Source organism: Homo sapiens, chromosome 1 (assembly GCF_000001405.40).
Source record: "Homo sapiens chromosome 1, GRCh38.p14 Primary Assembly".
Taxonomy (NCBI): Eukaryota; Metazoa; Chordata; class Mammalia; order Primates; family Hominidae; genus Homo; species Homo sapiens.
This window is the reverse complement of record NC_000001.11, coordinates 109,775,994-109,792,133: the sequence shown is the minus strand read 5'-3', so window position 1 is coordinate 109,792,133 and position 16,140 is coordinate 109,775,994. Positions and strand designations below refer to the sequence as shown.

The following is a 16,140-nucleotide window of genomic DNA, read 5'->3' as shown; positions in this document are numbered from 1 at the left end:
AAAACACTCCCCAGGGAGGTACAGGAGGCGAGGCTGGCCCTAACAGGAGGGGGCCAAAGGGAGATTAAGGAACGATTTTAAATTTCTGCCTTCCTACAAGGGGCCCTCCCGCTGTAGGGGTCCAATAGCCCCACTGAAAAGGGCTGAATCTCAGCCCAAAGGCAGAGGCAGCAACCCCAACCTCTCTGTGTTGTGTGAAATGTCAGCGTCCCCAGACAAGCAAGGTAGCCACACCTGCGGAGCTCATGTATCAGGAACAGGCTAAGAACACCTACTATGTGCTAAGCACTGCTCTGGGCGCTGGCCTTGCAGCAGTGAGCAGGGCAGATGCGGCCCAGTCCCTGGCGTTTCTCCCAACCTTTCCAGTCCCACCACCGCTGCCTCCACTGGTGGTCTCCTCCCAGACTGCCCAGGTCCAAATCTTGGCTCCCCACTTCTAGCGATGGGATCTTGAGCAAGTTACTTTACCCCTCTGTGCCTCCATTGCCTCATCTGTAAAATGGGGTGAAGTAATGCCTACCTCATGGGAACGATGAGAGAGGTAAATGAGTTATTATGTGTAAAATGCTTAGAACAGTTTCTGGCACAGAGCTCAATTCTTTCCTGTGTGTTCTGAACTCTGTGCCTGGGCTCAGCCCTCTCTCCTCCTGGAATGCCCTGCCCCTCTTCTGGAACCCATAAGTCCAGCCTCTTCGCTGAGTTTCCAGGTGAGAAGACCAATTAGGGGCAGGCCCACAGTCAGCCCACAGCCTTACTAGGGCCACCAATACTGGCCGAGTGTTTTCCTGTTGCCAAGGGTTTTAAACAGCCCTGTGAGGTAGATAGGGGAGGGAATTCGGTGAGGGAAAGACACCCGCCTGAGGTTGCAGAACCAGCGAGTGTTGGATCTGAGAGTGGAACTTGGATCTTCTGACTGGAAGTAGCACTGCCTCTGTCCCACCTGGTGGCGTTGGTCCTAAGAAACCTTCAGATATCCTGAGGCTATCACCAGGGCCTCTGAAGCTAACCCAAGGCTCGGCACCCAGAAAATGGGGCCTTCCTAGCCCTTCAGAGGCCCTGGAGTCAGTTGAGCTTGTCTCAGAGCCAGCTGGGGTCCACGAAGGCCTCAAGACAGGGGGCGCTGGCTAGCAGAGCCCTGAGGAGGGCCCTGCAGGAAGAGCTCAGCGGAAACTCTGAGCAATGCTGGCAGCCACAGGCCTCTGGGCTTCCTGCACCCTCCACACAGGCTGCCCTGTCAACATCAATGTCAATGCGTTTGTGAAACCCTGCCGGGCAGGCAGTGGGAACTCAAGGGGCCCCAAGGGTTCATAGGCTGTGGTCACCCTGTTCCTTTGCAGCCCAGGAGAAGGTGGCTTTCTAAAGACTGCTGTCCACAGTGTAATGGGATGCAGCTGCTGCCGAAGACAGTTACCTGAAGGAGGCCCCACGGTCTCCTTAGGCCTTGGGCCTCCAGATCCCATGGCTTCTCCCTGCAGGTCCATATCTTCTGGGGTCCCCACAGATTCAGAGAACCCCCAGACAGAGCAATAGAGTGGACCTTGTGGTCGAAGGACTTTGGAGTGAAAGACATGTGGGTTATAAGCCCAATCCACAGCTTTGCTATCTGTGTGACTTTGGGAAAGTTAGTTAACCTCTCTGTAGAGAGCCTCAGTTTTCTCATCTGTAAAATGGTGACAGAAAGTACCTACCTTGTCCTGAAGATTAAATAAAACAATGTAAATGGGAGACCTGGCATACCATAAGCTTTTGATAAATAGGAACTGATGTTTTTGTGACCACTGAGTGATAGCAGATATTGGAGGTACAAATACTATTGCATTTCTTCGATTTGTATAATTTCAATTAAAACCATCCAGACCTAATTTACTATACTTGAAAGAAAAACATACCTTCCTCTGGAATCTTCCTCTCCTTTCAAATTGCCCAAGAACCTCCAGGTCTCATGTACTCAAAAAGTGGAGGGGGAGGTAGAGGCTCCAACTTCTGCACCTTGGCCAGGAGAACCAGGACGCTGACCCGTTCCCACTGAGGTGGCACCTGTGGATAACTGCTCCCACGTGGTCAGAAGGCTGAGTGTCCTGTGCCAACCAGAGCACCACACAGGCCACATGCATCTTCTGGGGGCTGACTTCAAGGATGGCAGAGGATGGCTGACAGTTTGCTGGGGCTTCAGGTCCACCCCTTGCGGTCAGAGTCTGAGTCCCTTTTCCTTCCCCAGGATCCACACTGGGGTTGGGGCTCCTTCTTTACAGACCCCAAAACACAAATGGCCTCCTTACTCCTGTGTCTGAAAGTCCCCAGAAAGCTGCTCCCCTTCGCCACCCCCAGACCCACCCTCCATAGTAAACCCCAGTGCTGAGTCACCTGAAGACTACCAAGGTAACTCTTGCACAGAACAGAGGGAAAAAATGGTCTATATGGGGCTTCCTGCCGTATTTTTTTTCTTCTCAGTAACTAGGCAGCAGGGAGAAGCCAAAGTGAAGCCAGCATCCAGCGGTGGAGCCTTTGCCTTTTCTCTTTATGCTCCAGGTGCACCAGAGGTGAGCAGGGGACGGGAGGGTTTCATTTCTGTAGCCCCAGGCGTCAGGCTTCAGAGCCTGAGCTCTCAGCCAGGATATCTCTACAGCTCAGTAAATGCTTGCTGACTGACTGAGAGCAAAATGATCTCTCTGAGGGGGTGGGATCAGGCAGAGATGCTGGGATGGGCAGAGAAGAGGAAGTAGACCAGGGAAACGGCCAGGGGTGAGGCAGATAGGTCTGCAGATGGGCTGGGAGCAGCCTTGTAGGAGCAGAGGAAAGAGAGTACTGTTCTAGGGTGGCCTGAGAGTAAGGGGTAGTGAGGGAAGTGGCCACTAGGGTTGCTGCAGGACACCAGAGGCATCTCTGGGAAACCTGTGGAGCCTGCTGAATGCCTCCAGGTGCATGGTGGGGGCCGGGGAGCAGAGGCCTCATGGACGTAGCAGCCCCAAAAGGGCAGGTGCATGGGGGGTGGTTCCCAGGGGTGTTCAAAGGCAAAAATTAAAATGGTAACTCCCTCTGCGAAGAGACCCCTGGGCATGGTCCAAACTGATTCAACAGCAAGCATACTGCCCTTGACAATGTCCAGAGCCCAGGCCACCACCTAGAGGCCGCACCAGCACTCTCTGGGCCCATGTTGCTGCCCTATGCCAAGACGCAGGTCCCTGGAGGCACGAGCAGCCTGGAGCTGACCTGGGCTTCCTCAGGTGCAACAGGCACATGGAGTGTCTGAGAGGCACAGGAGCAACAGCCAGTGCCCCCTGCAGAGGACCACTGGGGTCACAGACTTCAGACCTGATGACCTGGGCTCAGATCCCAGCTCTGCACCTACCAGCCGTGTGACAAGGTGTCCTCTCTGAGCCTCAGTCACACACTGCCTTAACGGTTGGGCCTCATGGAGCTGTTTGTGAAGGTTAAATGGGAAGACATAAAGCACTTAGCCCAGAGCCAAGGACATGCTGAATAGGATAATGGTGGCCTCCTTTGGCGCTGTGCTGGTGCAGGTGTGCCGAGGAACTGGGCAGGGGTGACAGATACCTCTTCTAACCTAGTTCCTTTCCAAGAACCTAATTGGTGTCTCTCCCTCCCCCAGGCAATTGGAAGGAGGAGGCTGGGCCCCAGCCCCAGAATACGGGAGGTTTCTCACCGTGGTAGGGAAATTGCTGGGTTGGGGGTGTGGGCAACCACAGTGATCGTCTCTCTGCAGGACGGATGCGGCTTTGCTGACAGAGAGTCTGCGGCCTGGACATGCCAGCGGTGCAGGTCTGAGGTCAGCACTGGGGAGCCGGGCTGGGCCCCACCAGGGCGAGACATCTGCTTTCAATCAGCTGCCCTTCTGCCCGAGAAGGGGGTGAGGGCTGAGACCTCCCCCAAGCCCAACTTCTCATCACACAGAATGGACACTGAGGGCAAAGGAGGCAGGAGAAGCTCTAGAGACCCAGGTCAAAGAGATAGAGGTTTATTTTTGTTAAGCCACTTAAACTAAATCCTTCAATAGCTCTCTTTTGCAAGGCCATGCCCAGTCCGGCCAGTCAGCCCCCAGCCTCCCCCCGCGCCGCCCCAGCTCATGCTGCCTTGTCGCAAGCCTCTGGCTTGTCCGCCACTCGAGGGCTTTGCACTCACGCCCTGGGGGCCCCTGCCCTGCCCTGTGCAGGCTGACTTGTCATCCTTCAGCTGAAATCCCACTTACTCAGGAAAGGCTGTGGACGCATTTCTCCAACCCTGTTGACAATCTTGTTGAACACAGTTTGCTTTGTACCTATGTGTTCATCTGCATGGCTACTGAATGTCTGCCCCCCACCCCACTCTAGACTGTAAGCCCCATGCGGGCAGGAGCTAAGGCTGTCTTCCTCAGGACAATATCCCTAAAATTCAGAGCAGGGCCTGCCACAGAGTATGCGCTCAATAAATACTTGCCGAATGAATGAATGACTCATGCCTCTAAATATTTATAGCAGTTTCCTTCTGTAATCTTCAATGGTTTGAGTTCCACCAGATCCCTGCAGGATAATCAGTGCTTACGCCCATTTGACAGGCCCAGGTGAGTTAATGACCCTGGCTCCCAATCCATCCTGACTCACAGTATCAGGCTACCTTTGTCTAGGAGGAGGAGGAGGGACAAACTGGGAGAAGAGAGGCACGTGCCACAGAACCGGAGACCAGAGAGAGGGCTGGGTGAGAGACCAGCAAAGGGTGGGGGCACTGCCGGGGAGCCACATGCCAGCAGCCAGGCCCATCACACCCCATGTCAGCCTGTGTGGAATCACTCCCCATCCTGGAGAAAGTCCAGGAAGATGCCCACTGGGGATGTGCCCCAGCGACCACCCCCTATCCCTGCCAGTTCTCACATCCTTCTCCTGAAATGGCCATGCACTAAGCGGGCTTGCAGTCAACCACCCCAGGGTCAAACCAACGTGCTGCCTCTGACAGCTAAGCAATCTCAGACAGTTTAGTCAACTTTCTGAGCTTCAGTCTCCTCAAATGTGAAATAGTACCATAATAGAGCTGGCCTTAATGAGCAGTGGTGAAGCACCCATGAGCCCATGAAAGTTAAGCACACAGCAGGAAGAACTGGGTCTCTATGTTTCCACGGCCGCCATTGGCTCATGGGGACCATCCGTTGGGTATTGAGTGGTCTTGCTCTTGGCGGTAGACAGGGCTTATTCCCCTCCACCTGGGAGTGTCTTGAGGACAAGGACCTTTGTATCCCCCAGGGCTCCCAGGCCAGCCCAGACCCAGGTTGGGCTCTCAGCTAGATGCACGAACACATGAGTGTTTGTTTGGATCCAGAGTAAAAGCTCTGTGAATTTCCTGCTGATGTCAAGAGCAGGAGAGCTGGGGGGAGGAGATCTCTTCTGCCACACCCAGGCACTGAAGGATGGGTGTGCAGAGGGCAGAGCTGGGAGGAGCAATAAACGCCAGAGAAGAAGAGGACAGAGCATGACTGGAGCGGGCGCAAAACCCAGAAAAAAGGCTGTGTTGGAGTTCAGGAGGCCCTGCAGAGAGCAGATTTGGCCTGGGACCAAGAAGTGTAGCCTCAGAGCCTGGGAAGAAAGGACAGGAGGCCTGGGAAGGCATGGCAGAATTAGCCCAGACCTTGATCTGTGGGTTGGAAAGAGGCTGGGTGTCCCTTAATAGCACCTGCTTAGCACAGTGCCTGGCACACAGCACATGCTCAGTAAACATTTGTTAAATGAATGAATGAAGAATGAGGTTTTTCCATAACTTCTGTACTAGTCTCTCCACCTCTGTCCACTCTAGCTGTCTGTACAGGCTTCCTCAGAACGCCACCACAGGAAGCAAACTCTAACCCACCCACTCCCACTTGGAAGCTGTGGGCATATCCCCCACCGTCATAGGCAGCGGCCACACACAGGGGCCTGGGCGCCAAATCAGGAACCCAGACCTTTCCTGATGGGCCTGAGCCATGTGTTTTGTTTCATTATATATTAAACTTGAATTAATTGCTAACATTTAAAAATAAATGTGCCCGTGTAAAAACCCACATTGCCAGCTTCTCTGTAAGAGTTAGTTAGATGATATATTACTCTGGGTCTGCCCCCCAACCTGGGACAATGACTGAACAGAGGGGACAAGGCCTGCCTTCCCCAGGGCAACCTCTTTCTGCACTGGCATCTTCATGCCTCTCCTCCCACTCTGGTCCCTGCAGACAATTGAGTTTAGGACCCCTGCCCACAGGCTAAAATCCAAACTCCTCAGTCAGGCCCCCAAGGCCTCGGTGACGTGAGCCTCAGGATAAGCTTCTTATCTGTCCCCACTGTCCTTGTCCCCAAGGTTCTGGCTACCCCATGCTACATGTGGTTCTCCAATCACCTGTGTTCTTCCATGCCTCTGAGTGTTTGCACTAGCAGCACCATGGCTTGTGGTGCCTGTCCCCACTGTGGGGACTGCACTGGTGCCTACCTGGTCTTTGGTGCAGGCTCAAGTCCTCCTTGGCAGTGGAGCCTCCTGCAGCTCCTCTCTGGGCCACCACAGCCCTCAACCCCACAGCCACCCAGGCATGGGGCTCCCCACACTCTGCATTGTGCCACGGGGCAGTGGGCTCAGGAGAGCATGGAATCACATCTTATTCTTACTTTATCTCTGGTACCCAGCATAGGGCCAGCCTCTGGACGTAGAGTACAGCCTCCTGGGCCCAGCTCAATACATTCCTTGAAAGAATGAATTAAATAGAAGCCCTTGGTTTTGTGGATGGCAGAGGCATAAAATATCCCTAAATAACGCCAGAGAAATTGAGAAGCCTTTGTTTTGTGGCCTTCTCAAGGGCTACATTTTGTCACATCTACCCTCAGCGCGCACACTCACACACACACACACACACACACTCCTGGCAGTCCTAAAACAAACCCTGCTTCAATCCCACCAGCTCTAGAAAAATGAGAAAACAGGACAAATATTATTTTGAGAGACTACCTCTCACTTCATACACACACACACACACACACACACACACACACCAGGTCAACTAACATCAAGCACCTCCCTCTCACTCACTCCCAGCAGGAAGCCCATGCTTCTTCCATGTTCCAAGCCTTTCCTGACCCCTCTCCCACTGAGACAACTGTGTCCTGAGTTCTTGGCACAAGCCTACTCCCTGAACCCAGCCTGCAAAATTATGAAGTTGGACAACCCAGGCCTGAGTCAGTGATCAAACTTCAGAGCTGAAAGGGACTTCAAGACCCAAGTATTTTATGGAGGGGAAAAAAGGTCAGCCAAGTCATATCCAGAGGGGCCTGATGGTCAGGGCTGGCTGGAAGGACCTAGCTCCCAGAGGAGGCGAGAGAAGGGCCTCCAGGAGAGTAAGAGCGTAGGGACTCAGCCGCTCCCGACTGCAGCACCCTGCAGAGCACTCATGCACCTGCTGGGACTTCATCTCCGTGGCAGCCTGAGCAGAGTGGTTCCCACTTACAGATGGGGAACCAGTCCATGAAGTCAGCTCCTGTGTGTGGCCAAGTCTGCCCTTCATCTGCTTGGCTCAGAAGCCACATTCTTCACTACCATGTCCCAAATGTCAGGACTGGTGTCCCCTCAGTCTGGCTGTGATGGTTTTGCTGGGGCCCGGGATAGAGGAAATGGGAGGAATACACCTATTGCATCGCACTGTACATGGGAGGGCCATTCAATTGCATTGTCAAGATAGATTTGTATATTTAGTGAGATAATTTTCCTGCAGACCAAAGCAGAACATTTGGAAGAATGAGCAGCTCTTTCTCGCTCCCTCCTCAGAGACTCCATTTGGGCTCAGGCGGGGCAAATGGAGCCAATGAAATAAGGTTTCATGGAAGTCAGAGCAGGTACAGTCTATGTCATCTCACCAGCCCTGCTTTAAAGAAAAAGTAACGTAGAAATTAAAGTGAAAAGACCTTTACATGGAGAAGGAATTTGCACGCGTAATATAGGGAGGTGTTCCTTAGGTATGTTACAGGATTACTTTAAACCATTTGACTTACGCTCCAAAGTAACTGCAATGTTGGTAGTATAACAAATTCTGATGAATAGCTTTAATTGTGTGTTTAAAGGTCTCATCATATGTTCACATGCTTAAATCTGGGTATCAGAATTTAAGTAATTCTTGAAATGTATTGTCTCCTTAATATACTAATTACAAAGCAAAGAAAAAAAGAAAGAAAGAAAAGAAAAATCTCAGGCATCTCTGGGGAGTCATTTGCCACCGAGGCATATTTCCAGGGGACAGACCCAGGTCTGCCAGCCTCAGCCCTTACCCTTGCTGTGCCCACTCCCAGGCTTGGGTCGCCCCAGTGGGGCAGGAGAGCTGTGACCCGAGGCAAAGAACAGGGCCAACCCTAATGCCCACAGAGCAGCCCAGGAAGGCTGGGGGACATTCATGGGAAGAGAAAGGGGATTTTTCAGAGCCCAAGGTCTCCTTCCCCACCCACCAGGGTCAGCGGGGGTACCAGTCCTCCGACAGGACGCCTGGCCACAGCACTGGGAACCTGGGCTCCCGGGCGTCAACTTGGAGTTCTTGTTGACTTCCTCAGACTCTGCCTCCTGCCAACCCCATTCATCACCTTCACTTGCCAATCCCTTAGGAATGTGGCAGTCTCTTAAAAGTCAGCCCTGGGTTAAAACAACAAACAAACCCGGAAGCCTCTAAGTCAGCCGCAGAGGCTCAGACAGGTCAGGAATCAGGGGCAGGTTTCTGGCCTCTCTTCTTCTCCCACCCCAACACCTGCAAGCTCAGCACTACCACCTTACCCCACACACAATCCCGAACACAGTGAAGCTGCCTTTAGATTGGGGGGTGAGTTTCCAGAAGCCTGAAAGCTACCTCCCCTTCCCAGGACACCCCCTCCCCACCACCCATCTATGCCTCTAACGCCTACTTAGGACACACAGGCCCATATTTGGAGAGTGGTGTCCAGCCTTCCACTCTCCAATCTGGGGCTCTGCAAACCCCCTCCCAACTTGCCCAGAGGCCCACACCTACCCTTAAGGGAATAGGACATGGGTCTGGCAACATTTCTTCAAGAAAGTAGGGAGGCTGAAGGATGGGCAGCGGGGGTGGGGGCCAGCTGGGAGGCTCTAAGGGTGAGCCCCATTCTGTCCGCCCCACACCGCACTCCTCCATCTCCTCCTTAACCCCCAGTAAAGTCCCACTGGGGCTGGCCTAGGGCAGGTTCAGTCCTGCCTCAGGGACCATCTGCTAAAGGGAAAAGGGACTCACATCTATAAGTGCCTATAAACAAAGGGGAAAATATGCAAACACCCGGCCCATTCACCTGAATAGAAGAATCCACAGCTGGCCAGAGGGGTGCACACAGGTGCTGACCAAACTGCTGGCTTGAGTGAGCTGGGCTGGCCCAAGGAAGTGCTAGCTAAAGGGCTAAATCAGAGGCTGTGGCTCCCATCCAGGGCCCCAGGCCTCCAGGGTTCCTTGAACCACTTAAAATATTTCAGAAAACCAATGGATACTCTACATTTAGCCATGGTGAGATTTCTGGGATTAACAAAAATTCCAATGCTTTGCTTTTGGCTGGAATTACATCAACTCAATGCAGAAACATTGGCTATCTGTACAGATAAATATTTGAGGTTAAGTATACATGGGTCAGATGGAGAAAACAGAAAAAGAACTAATAACTTGGCAACTGCTATTTAACAAAACCTTTTAAAACATAGAATTTGTAGTGAAAGAACTAAGAAAATGAATTTTAGAGACATTTCCTTAATACACAAAGAGCTTCTACAAATCAGTGAGAAAAAGAATAGCTGTCTCAAAAAATCCCTCTACACATGGGATTCACAAAAAAGAAAGAAAAAGAAGTTTAAATAGCCAAGATATATTTTTTTAAATGCTCAGCCTTACTTTTAAAGGCATTTAAATTTTCAAAATTTTTAAATTTTTACCATTTTTCATCTGTCAAATTAGCAAAGATTTAAAAGTTTGATAGTATCAGTGTTGGTGCAAATATAAGGAAATGGGCATTTTCATACACTATTAGTGGGACTATAAATTGTTATAGTGTTTTTGAAAGGCAATCTGGGAACACATGTTCACATTTTAAACACACACATTATTAGTCAGCTGGCAATTAATTTACAAACATAGTTGTTCATCTTAGAACTGTTTGCCTTAGCAAAACCTAAGCAGCATAAATCTCCATTAAAAAAGGAACTGGTCAGTCACATCTTTACAATGAACTTTTTATAGTCACTACAAAAAAAATGAGTAGATCTACAGATATCGACATGAAAAAGAGGTCCAAGATCTGACATTAAGTGAAAAAAGCAAGCTGCAAAATAACACGGTTACATTATTGTTATGATATGATCCCATTTGTATATATTTTTTACAAAGCACATATAGTGACTTGTAGCTATACGTGCTTGTCTATATACATAGAAATATCTTAGGGATAAATAAGAAATTGTTAAGAGTGGTTCCTTGGGGAATAAGATGAGGCAAAGGAAAAGGGTGATGGGTAGAACATTTTTAATTTTTACATATCCTTCTCTGCTATTATGGTATTTACTATAATTTTTATTATTTTAAATTGATTTTTTAAAATGATTGCTGGCAAGAAAAAGGTTAGTGTCCCAATTTAAAAGGACTGGATGATTGCTGAGAAGGAGTCAGCTTTGGTGTAAATGTTTGTGTCCTCCTACCCCCAGAACCCATATGTTAAATTCCCAGTGCCCAAGATGATGGCATTAGGTGGTGGGGCCTTGGTGAGGTGATTAGTGACCATATAAAAGAGACCTCAGAGTGCTGTCTTGCCCTTTGACCATGTGAGAACACACCGAGAAGGTACCATCTATGAACAAGAAAGCATTCCCTCACCAGACACCAAATCTGCCAGTGTCTTAATTGTGGACTTCCTAGCCTCCAGGATTGTGAAATAAATTCTGTGGTTTATGAGCTACCTAGTCTATAGCATTTTGTTATAGCAACCTGAATGGACTAAAACAGAAAATTAGTACCAGGAGTGGGATGCTACTGTAACAAATACCTAAAATGTGGAAGTGGCTTTGGAACTAGATAATGGGTAGAGGCTGAAAGAGTTTGGAAGTGCATCCTAGAAAAAGCCTAACCATTGCCATGAATGGACTGTTAAGAGCAGTTCTGGTGTGGAGAGTTGTAGAGAAAGCCTCAATCTTCTTAGAGGTTACCTAAGTGGTCATGAACAGGCTATTGGTAGAAATATGGATGGTAAAAGCCATTCTGGTAAGGTCTCAGAAATGAGGAATGTTTTACTGAAAACTAGAGGAAAAACAATACTTATTAGAAAGTAGTAAAGAACTTGGCTGCATTAAGTTTGTGTCATGGTGTTTTGTGGAAGGTAGAATTTGTAAATGATGTAATGGGATATTTGAATGAGTAAATTTCTAAGCAGTGTTGAAGGTGCAGCTTGGCTTCTCTTGAGTGCTTATAGTAACATTTGAGAAGAGAGAGATGATCTGAAGATAGAATTGCTAATCAAAAGGGAAGCAGAATTTAAAATTTTGGAAAATTCTCAACCTATCCATTTTGAAAAGAATGTGAAAGTGTGTTCATAGAAAACACCAAGAATGTGGCCCCACAGTGATTTGAGAAAGGGATTGGTACGGATAGGCCATCTCAAGGGAAGCCAGGTGCTATTGATGAAGGCAATGGAAGGCTGTCCCCAAAAATATTTTGGAGATTATCAGAATTGCCCCTCCCACCACAGGCCCAGAGTGCAAGGGCTTGGGGGACAGAAAGATTTCAAGGCTCCACTCCCCGCACTTTAGCAGAGTACTCGTTGGCCACCCCACGTATGGCTCTAGTGGGCCTAGGTACAACACAAGCTAAGGTGGCCACCCCTCTGCAGGGCACAGGTGATAAACCTTGGCAGCTCCATGAAGTGCCATTCCTGTCAATGTGCATGAGCTGTGGGGGCATGGCTACCTTCACCTAGATCCTGAAGAATGGAGCCACTAGGAGCCTCAGTTATGTGACCAGACAGAGAGTTATGGCAAGGGTGGGACCTCTACAGAGAGTCCCCAACAGGGCAATACCTAATAGAGCCATGGGGGTGGGCCAACACCAAGATCCCAGACCATAGACCCACCAGCGTGCAATTCCAGCCTGAGAGAGCCACAGGCACCCAACTACAACCTGTGAGAGATGGAACATAGGCAGTGCCCAGCAAAGCTATGGGGGCAGGGCCACCTGGAGCTCTGAGGGCCCAACCCCTACCCCAGTGTCCAGAGGGCAGAGCATCAGCCAGAGAGTATTCTCCAGCCTTGAGATTTCATGTTGTTTGCCCTGTTGGGTTTTGGATTTGGTTGGGACCTGGTATCCCTTCTTTCCTTCCTATTGCTCCCTTTCGGAATGGGAATGTCTATCCTCCACCCATCTCCCCCATTGTATTTTGAGTGCACATAACTTGCTTGATTTCACAGGTTCATAGCTGGAGACAAATACCTTGAGTCTCACTTATATCTGTTTTATTTGATAGTTACATGAGACTTTGGATTTAAACTTTAAAGTTGATGCTAGAATGAGTAAGACATTTGGGACTATTGAAATGAAATCAATATACTTTTCATGTGAGAAGGACATAAATTTTGGTGGGCCAGGGCAGAAGGCTATGGTCTGAATGTTTGTGTCTCCCCAAAATTCATATGTTAAAACCTTAACCCCCCATCCTGGCTAACACGGTGAAACCCCGTCTCTATTAGCCGGGTGTGGTGGCGGGCACCTGTAGTCCCAGCTACTCGGGAGGCTGAGGCAGGAGAATGGCGGGAACCCGTGAGGCGGAGCTTGCAGTGAGCTGAGATCACACCACTGCACTCCAGCCTGGGAGACACAGCAAGACTCCGTCTCAAAAAAAAAAAAAAAAAACCTTAACCCCAAGGCGATGGTATTAGGGATGGGACCTTTGTGAGGTGAGTAAGTGCTCTGATAAAATGGATTAGTGCCCTTATAAAAGAGATGCCAGAGAGCTGTGTTGCCCTTCTACCATGTGAGGACACAGTGAGAAGGTGCCTTCTATGAATTAGACAGTAAGCCCCCACCAGACTCCAGATCTACAGGTACCTTCATTTTGGACCTCCCAGCCTCCAGAACTGTGAGAAACAAATTTCTGTTGTTTGTATACTTCCCAGTCTATGCTATTTCGCTATAGCAGCCTGAACAGACTAACGCAGGGACCACTGGAAGATGTGGGAATGGCTTTACTGAGACCAGGAAGGGAGGTGGTTCAGAGGAGGGGAGCCCTGGAGGAGCAGGCCTCTCTTCCATCTGGAAGAGGTCCGTTCGTGGCAGGAGGTCTGCCCTCTCAGCTACTCCATCCCACCCAGACAGAGGAGACAAATGGAGACTGGGAAAAGAAGCCAAACTTTGTTTTTATTTATGTATTTGTTTTAGAGACAGGGTCTTTTGCTGTCCCCCAGGCTGGAGTGCAGTGGCATGATCACAGCTCACTGCAGCCTCAAACTCCTGGGCTCAAGCAATCCTCCCACCTCACCCTCCTGAGTAGCTGGGACTACAAGCATGCGCCACCATGTCCGGCTAATTTTTTTTCTTTTTGTAGATACAGGGTCTCACTTTGTTGCCCAGGCTGGTCTCAAACTCTTGACCTCAAACAATCCTCCTGCCTCAGCCTCCCAAAATGCTGGGATTATAGGTGTAAGCCATTGCACCTGGCCGGAAGCCAACCTTTAAATACCAGCACAAGGCTTGCAAGGGCAGGTTGATGCCCCCTGGGGATCTGGCCCAGGCCCTCCTCCTTTCACCCTATTTCAGGGCCCCTCCTTCTCTGTCTGCGACCCAGGCCCAGACAAAATCTATGACCCGCAAGAATGAAATTTGCACAAGAACTGCTTCCTAAAAGGAAAAGGAAAAGTGAAAAGGCAAATAGCTGTTTGAGAAAAGGTTTCTGACCAGAAGATCTTACAGTCTGGCCAGAGATGCTGGGGCCAAGGGTAGCGTCCCCTGGGAGAGAAGGACTTTGCTGGTCTTTGTGGCACCATCAGCCCTTCCCATCCACCCCTGCCATGCACACTCCTTAACTTCCATCTTACGGAGGCAGAGTGGAGTCACAGGGACCGGGACTAGCATTTCAGCTCCTATGCTCCTTACCGGGGCTCTCATGCCATTTCTCTGACCCTCAGATGCTTTATCTGTAAAGAGGGGATCATAGCACCTTAAGGGTTGATTTGAAAATTGGAAATAATATAAATATCATAGCACAATGTTTGTCATATAACAAGTGGTCATGGAAAAGCATATAGAACTGTATCCGTTCATTGATATTGTCTAAACACAGCCCCACTCCTGTGCCTTTGCTCATGCTGGTTCCTGAATGGAGATGCCCCTTCTTCTTCCCCATCTGGTAAAATCCTACCCATGTTTCAAGGCCTAGATCCAGTAGCAGCTTCGTCAAAGCTTCTGCAGTCCTCACTGTGCAGGGGTGTTCTCTCCTCTTCGGGGCGTCCACGGCACTGTGTTCATAGCACCTTCCAGCCATTGCCAGCTGAGTCACGGAGTTGTTTACTCTGCGGGCTGGGGACCCTGAGTGTAATGGTGCCTTGGCCTAATGCACTTCTGTCTTCATGTCCCTGTCCTTAGCACAGAAGCTGCTGAATAATGCTAGTCAAACACCCACATGCATACCTTGTCATCAGCCCGAAAACCTTCCCTCATCCTCTCCAGGGAAGGGACTGAGCAGAGGAAAGAGACTCTCTTTAGCCACATTCCTAGATTTGGTTTGATTCTAAAGGAGCTGGGGAGCCGGGAGGCCCAATTCAGACACCTCATGGGAACGAGGGTTCTTCTACTGGGAAGGAGAAGCTGGGGAAAGCAAAGACAAGGGGGCACAGTTGGAAAGCTGTGCTAGTGCCAGGGAGCCTAGGCCCAGGAAGGGTGGATGCTCACCCCAGGGCTGTCCAGGTCGGGTCACCAGACCACGCAGCTTCAATGGCCACAGACTAGCCAGCCTCCCCGGGTCCCCCATCTATGCACAGCTGGCCTGTTTCCTCTGTGCCTGGTGCTCCTCCCCACTCTCCAAGGGACACCCACCCCAGGTCTCTCCCTGGACACTGAGCCCTGACAGGAAGGCCTGGGCTAAGGGAACGTGAGCTTGTTCTGCCCCCTGCTGGCCATTGCAGGGAATGGCTCCTTAACTGGAAAGGCAGGGAAGAAGCAGCCAAGGGCTACCTGGCTGGCCCCATGGGATCCACCCCAGCCTCACAGTTCATCTTTCTGGTTCAAGTTCAAACTCTTTGGCCTAGCAAATTCCTCCAGGACCTGGTTCCAATGACTCTTTCCAAATTTATTTCCTACCACTCCATCCCAAAGCCTCAGGCCCAGGTAATCCAGCTGTTCTTTGTCCCTGTGTGTCCTGACCTCCAGCCTCTACAAAGGCCATCCCTCTTGCCAGCAATGCCCTTGCCTTTCCACTCTGCTTCAAGACTCAGTCCACCTCCTTGCTGACTGTGCAGCCCCGGCATCCTCACCTTTGTCCCCTGGCACTCATTGCCTAGAGCTCAATCTTGCCACCTGTGGCTTGTGCCCACCCTAGTCTCATCTGAAACTAAGCCAAAGGATGGCATCACATTGGAATGTGCACAAGCTCAGAGTTTCAGCACAGGCCCCAGAACACAGATGGTGCATAATCAGTGCTGGGCGGGAAAGGCGATCGCATTCCAGCACTCATGTTTCCATGCCATCCACCAGCCTTTGGGTAGTCTTCTTGCAGAGGCTGGCAGCGTCCCTTGGGAAGGGAAAAGGATGGTCTCTGTGTGGGTCTCTGACCAGCCTCCAGGCCCCTTGCCTTCCCACTACTGGTGTCCAGGAGTCACTAGTCTGCCAGGGAGAGGCAGGAAAGAGCGGAGAGTCCCCCTAATGTGCAGCCAGGTAGGAGAGAAATTTGTGACCAAGGGATGCTGACCCCTCCTCCAGGAGGTTTCCAGGCCACTGTCTCCATTCCCAGCCACTTCTGCCCTCCTAACTTCTGTTTCCTTTCTACCTTCTTCATTCATTTGTTTACTTGTTCACTGACTCAGCAATCACCTATTAGGTGCCAGGCACTGGCCTGACTGTGGGTATCCCACAAAAAAGACATAAAACCTGCTCAAAGTAACATCACTTAGTGGAAGAGAAAATTAAGGTATTCA

The 16,140-nt window shown here is 50.3% G+C and overlaps 4 annotated features.

Moving 5' to 3' along the window:
• Positions 915 to 974: an enhancer, noted in NCBI's record as "active region_1452". NCBI's record gives its function as "activates an Ori minimal core promoter by ATAC-STARR-seq in GM12878 lymphoblastoid cells {active_cell/tissue: GM12878}" and the evidence as "EXISTENCE:reporter gene assay evidence [ECO:0000049][PMID:35858748]".
• Positions 3,520 to 4,403: an enhancer, noted in NCBI's record as "H3K27ac-H3K4me1 hESC enhancer chr1:110330353-110331236 (GRCh37/hg19 assembly coordinates)". NCBI's record gives its function as "activates a minimal SCP1, AML or CMV promoter by ChIP-STARR-seq in naive H9 embryonic stem cells {active_cell/tissue: H9 hESC(naive)}" and the evidence as "EXISTENCE:reporter gene assay evidence [ECO:0000049][PMID:30033119]".
• Positions 4,404 to 5,287: an enhancer, noted in NCBI's record as "H3K4me1 hESC enhancer chr1:110329469-110330352 (GRCh37/hg19 assembly coordinates)". NCBI's record gives its function as "activates a minimal SCP1, AML or CMV promoter by ChIP-STARR-seq in naive H9 embryonic stem cells {active_cell/tissue: H9 hESC(naive)}" and the evidence as "EXISTENCE:reporter gene assay evidence [ECO:0000049][PMID:30033119]".
• Positions 14,933 to 15,227: an enhancer, noted in NCBI's record as "tiled region #9477; HepG2 Activating DNase unmatched - State 12:CtcfO, and K562 Activating DNase unmatched - State 12:CtcfO". NCBI's record gives its function as "activates a minimal TATA promoter and a strong SV40 promoter by Sharpr-MPRA in HepG2 and K562 cells {active_cell/tissue: HepG2 | K562}" and the evidence as "EXISTENCE:reporter gene assay evidence [ECO:0000049][PMID:27701403]".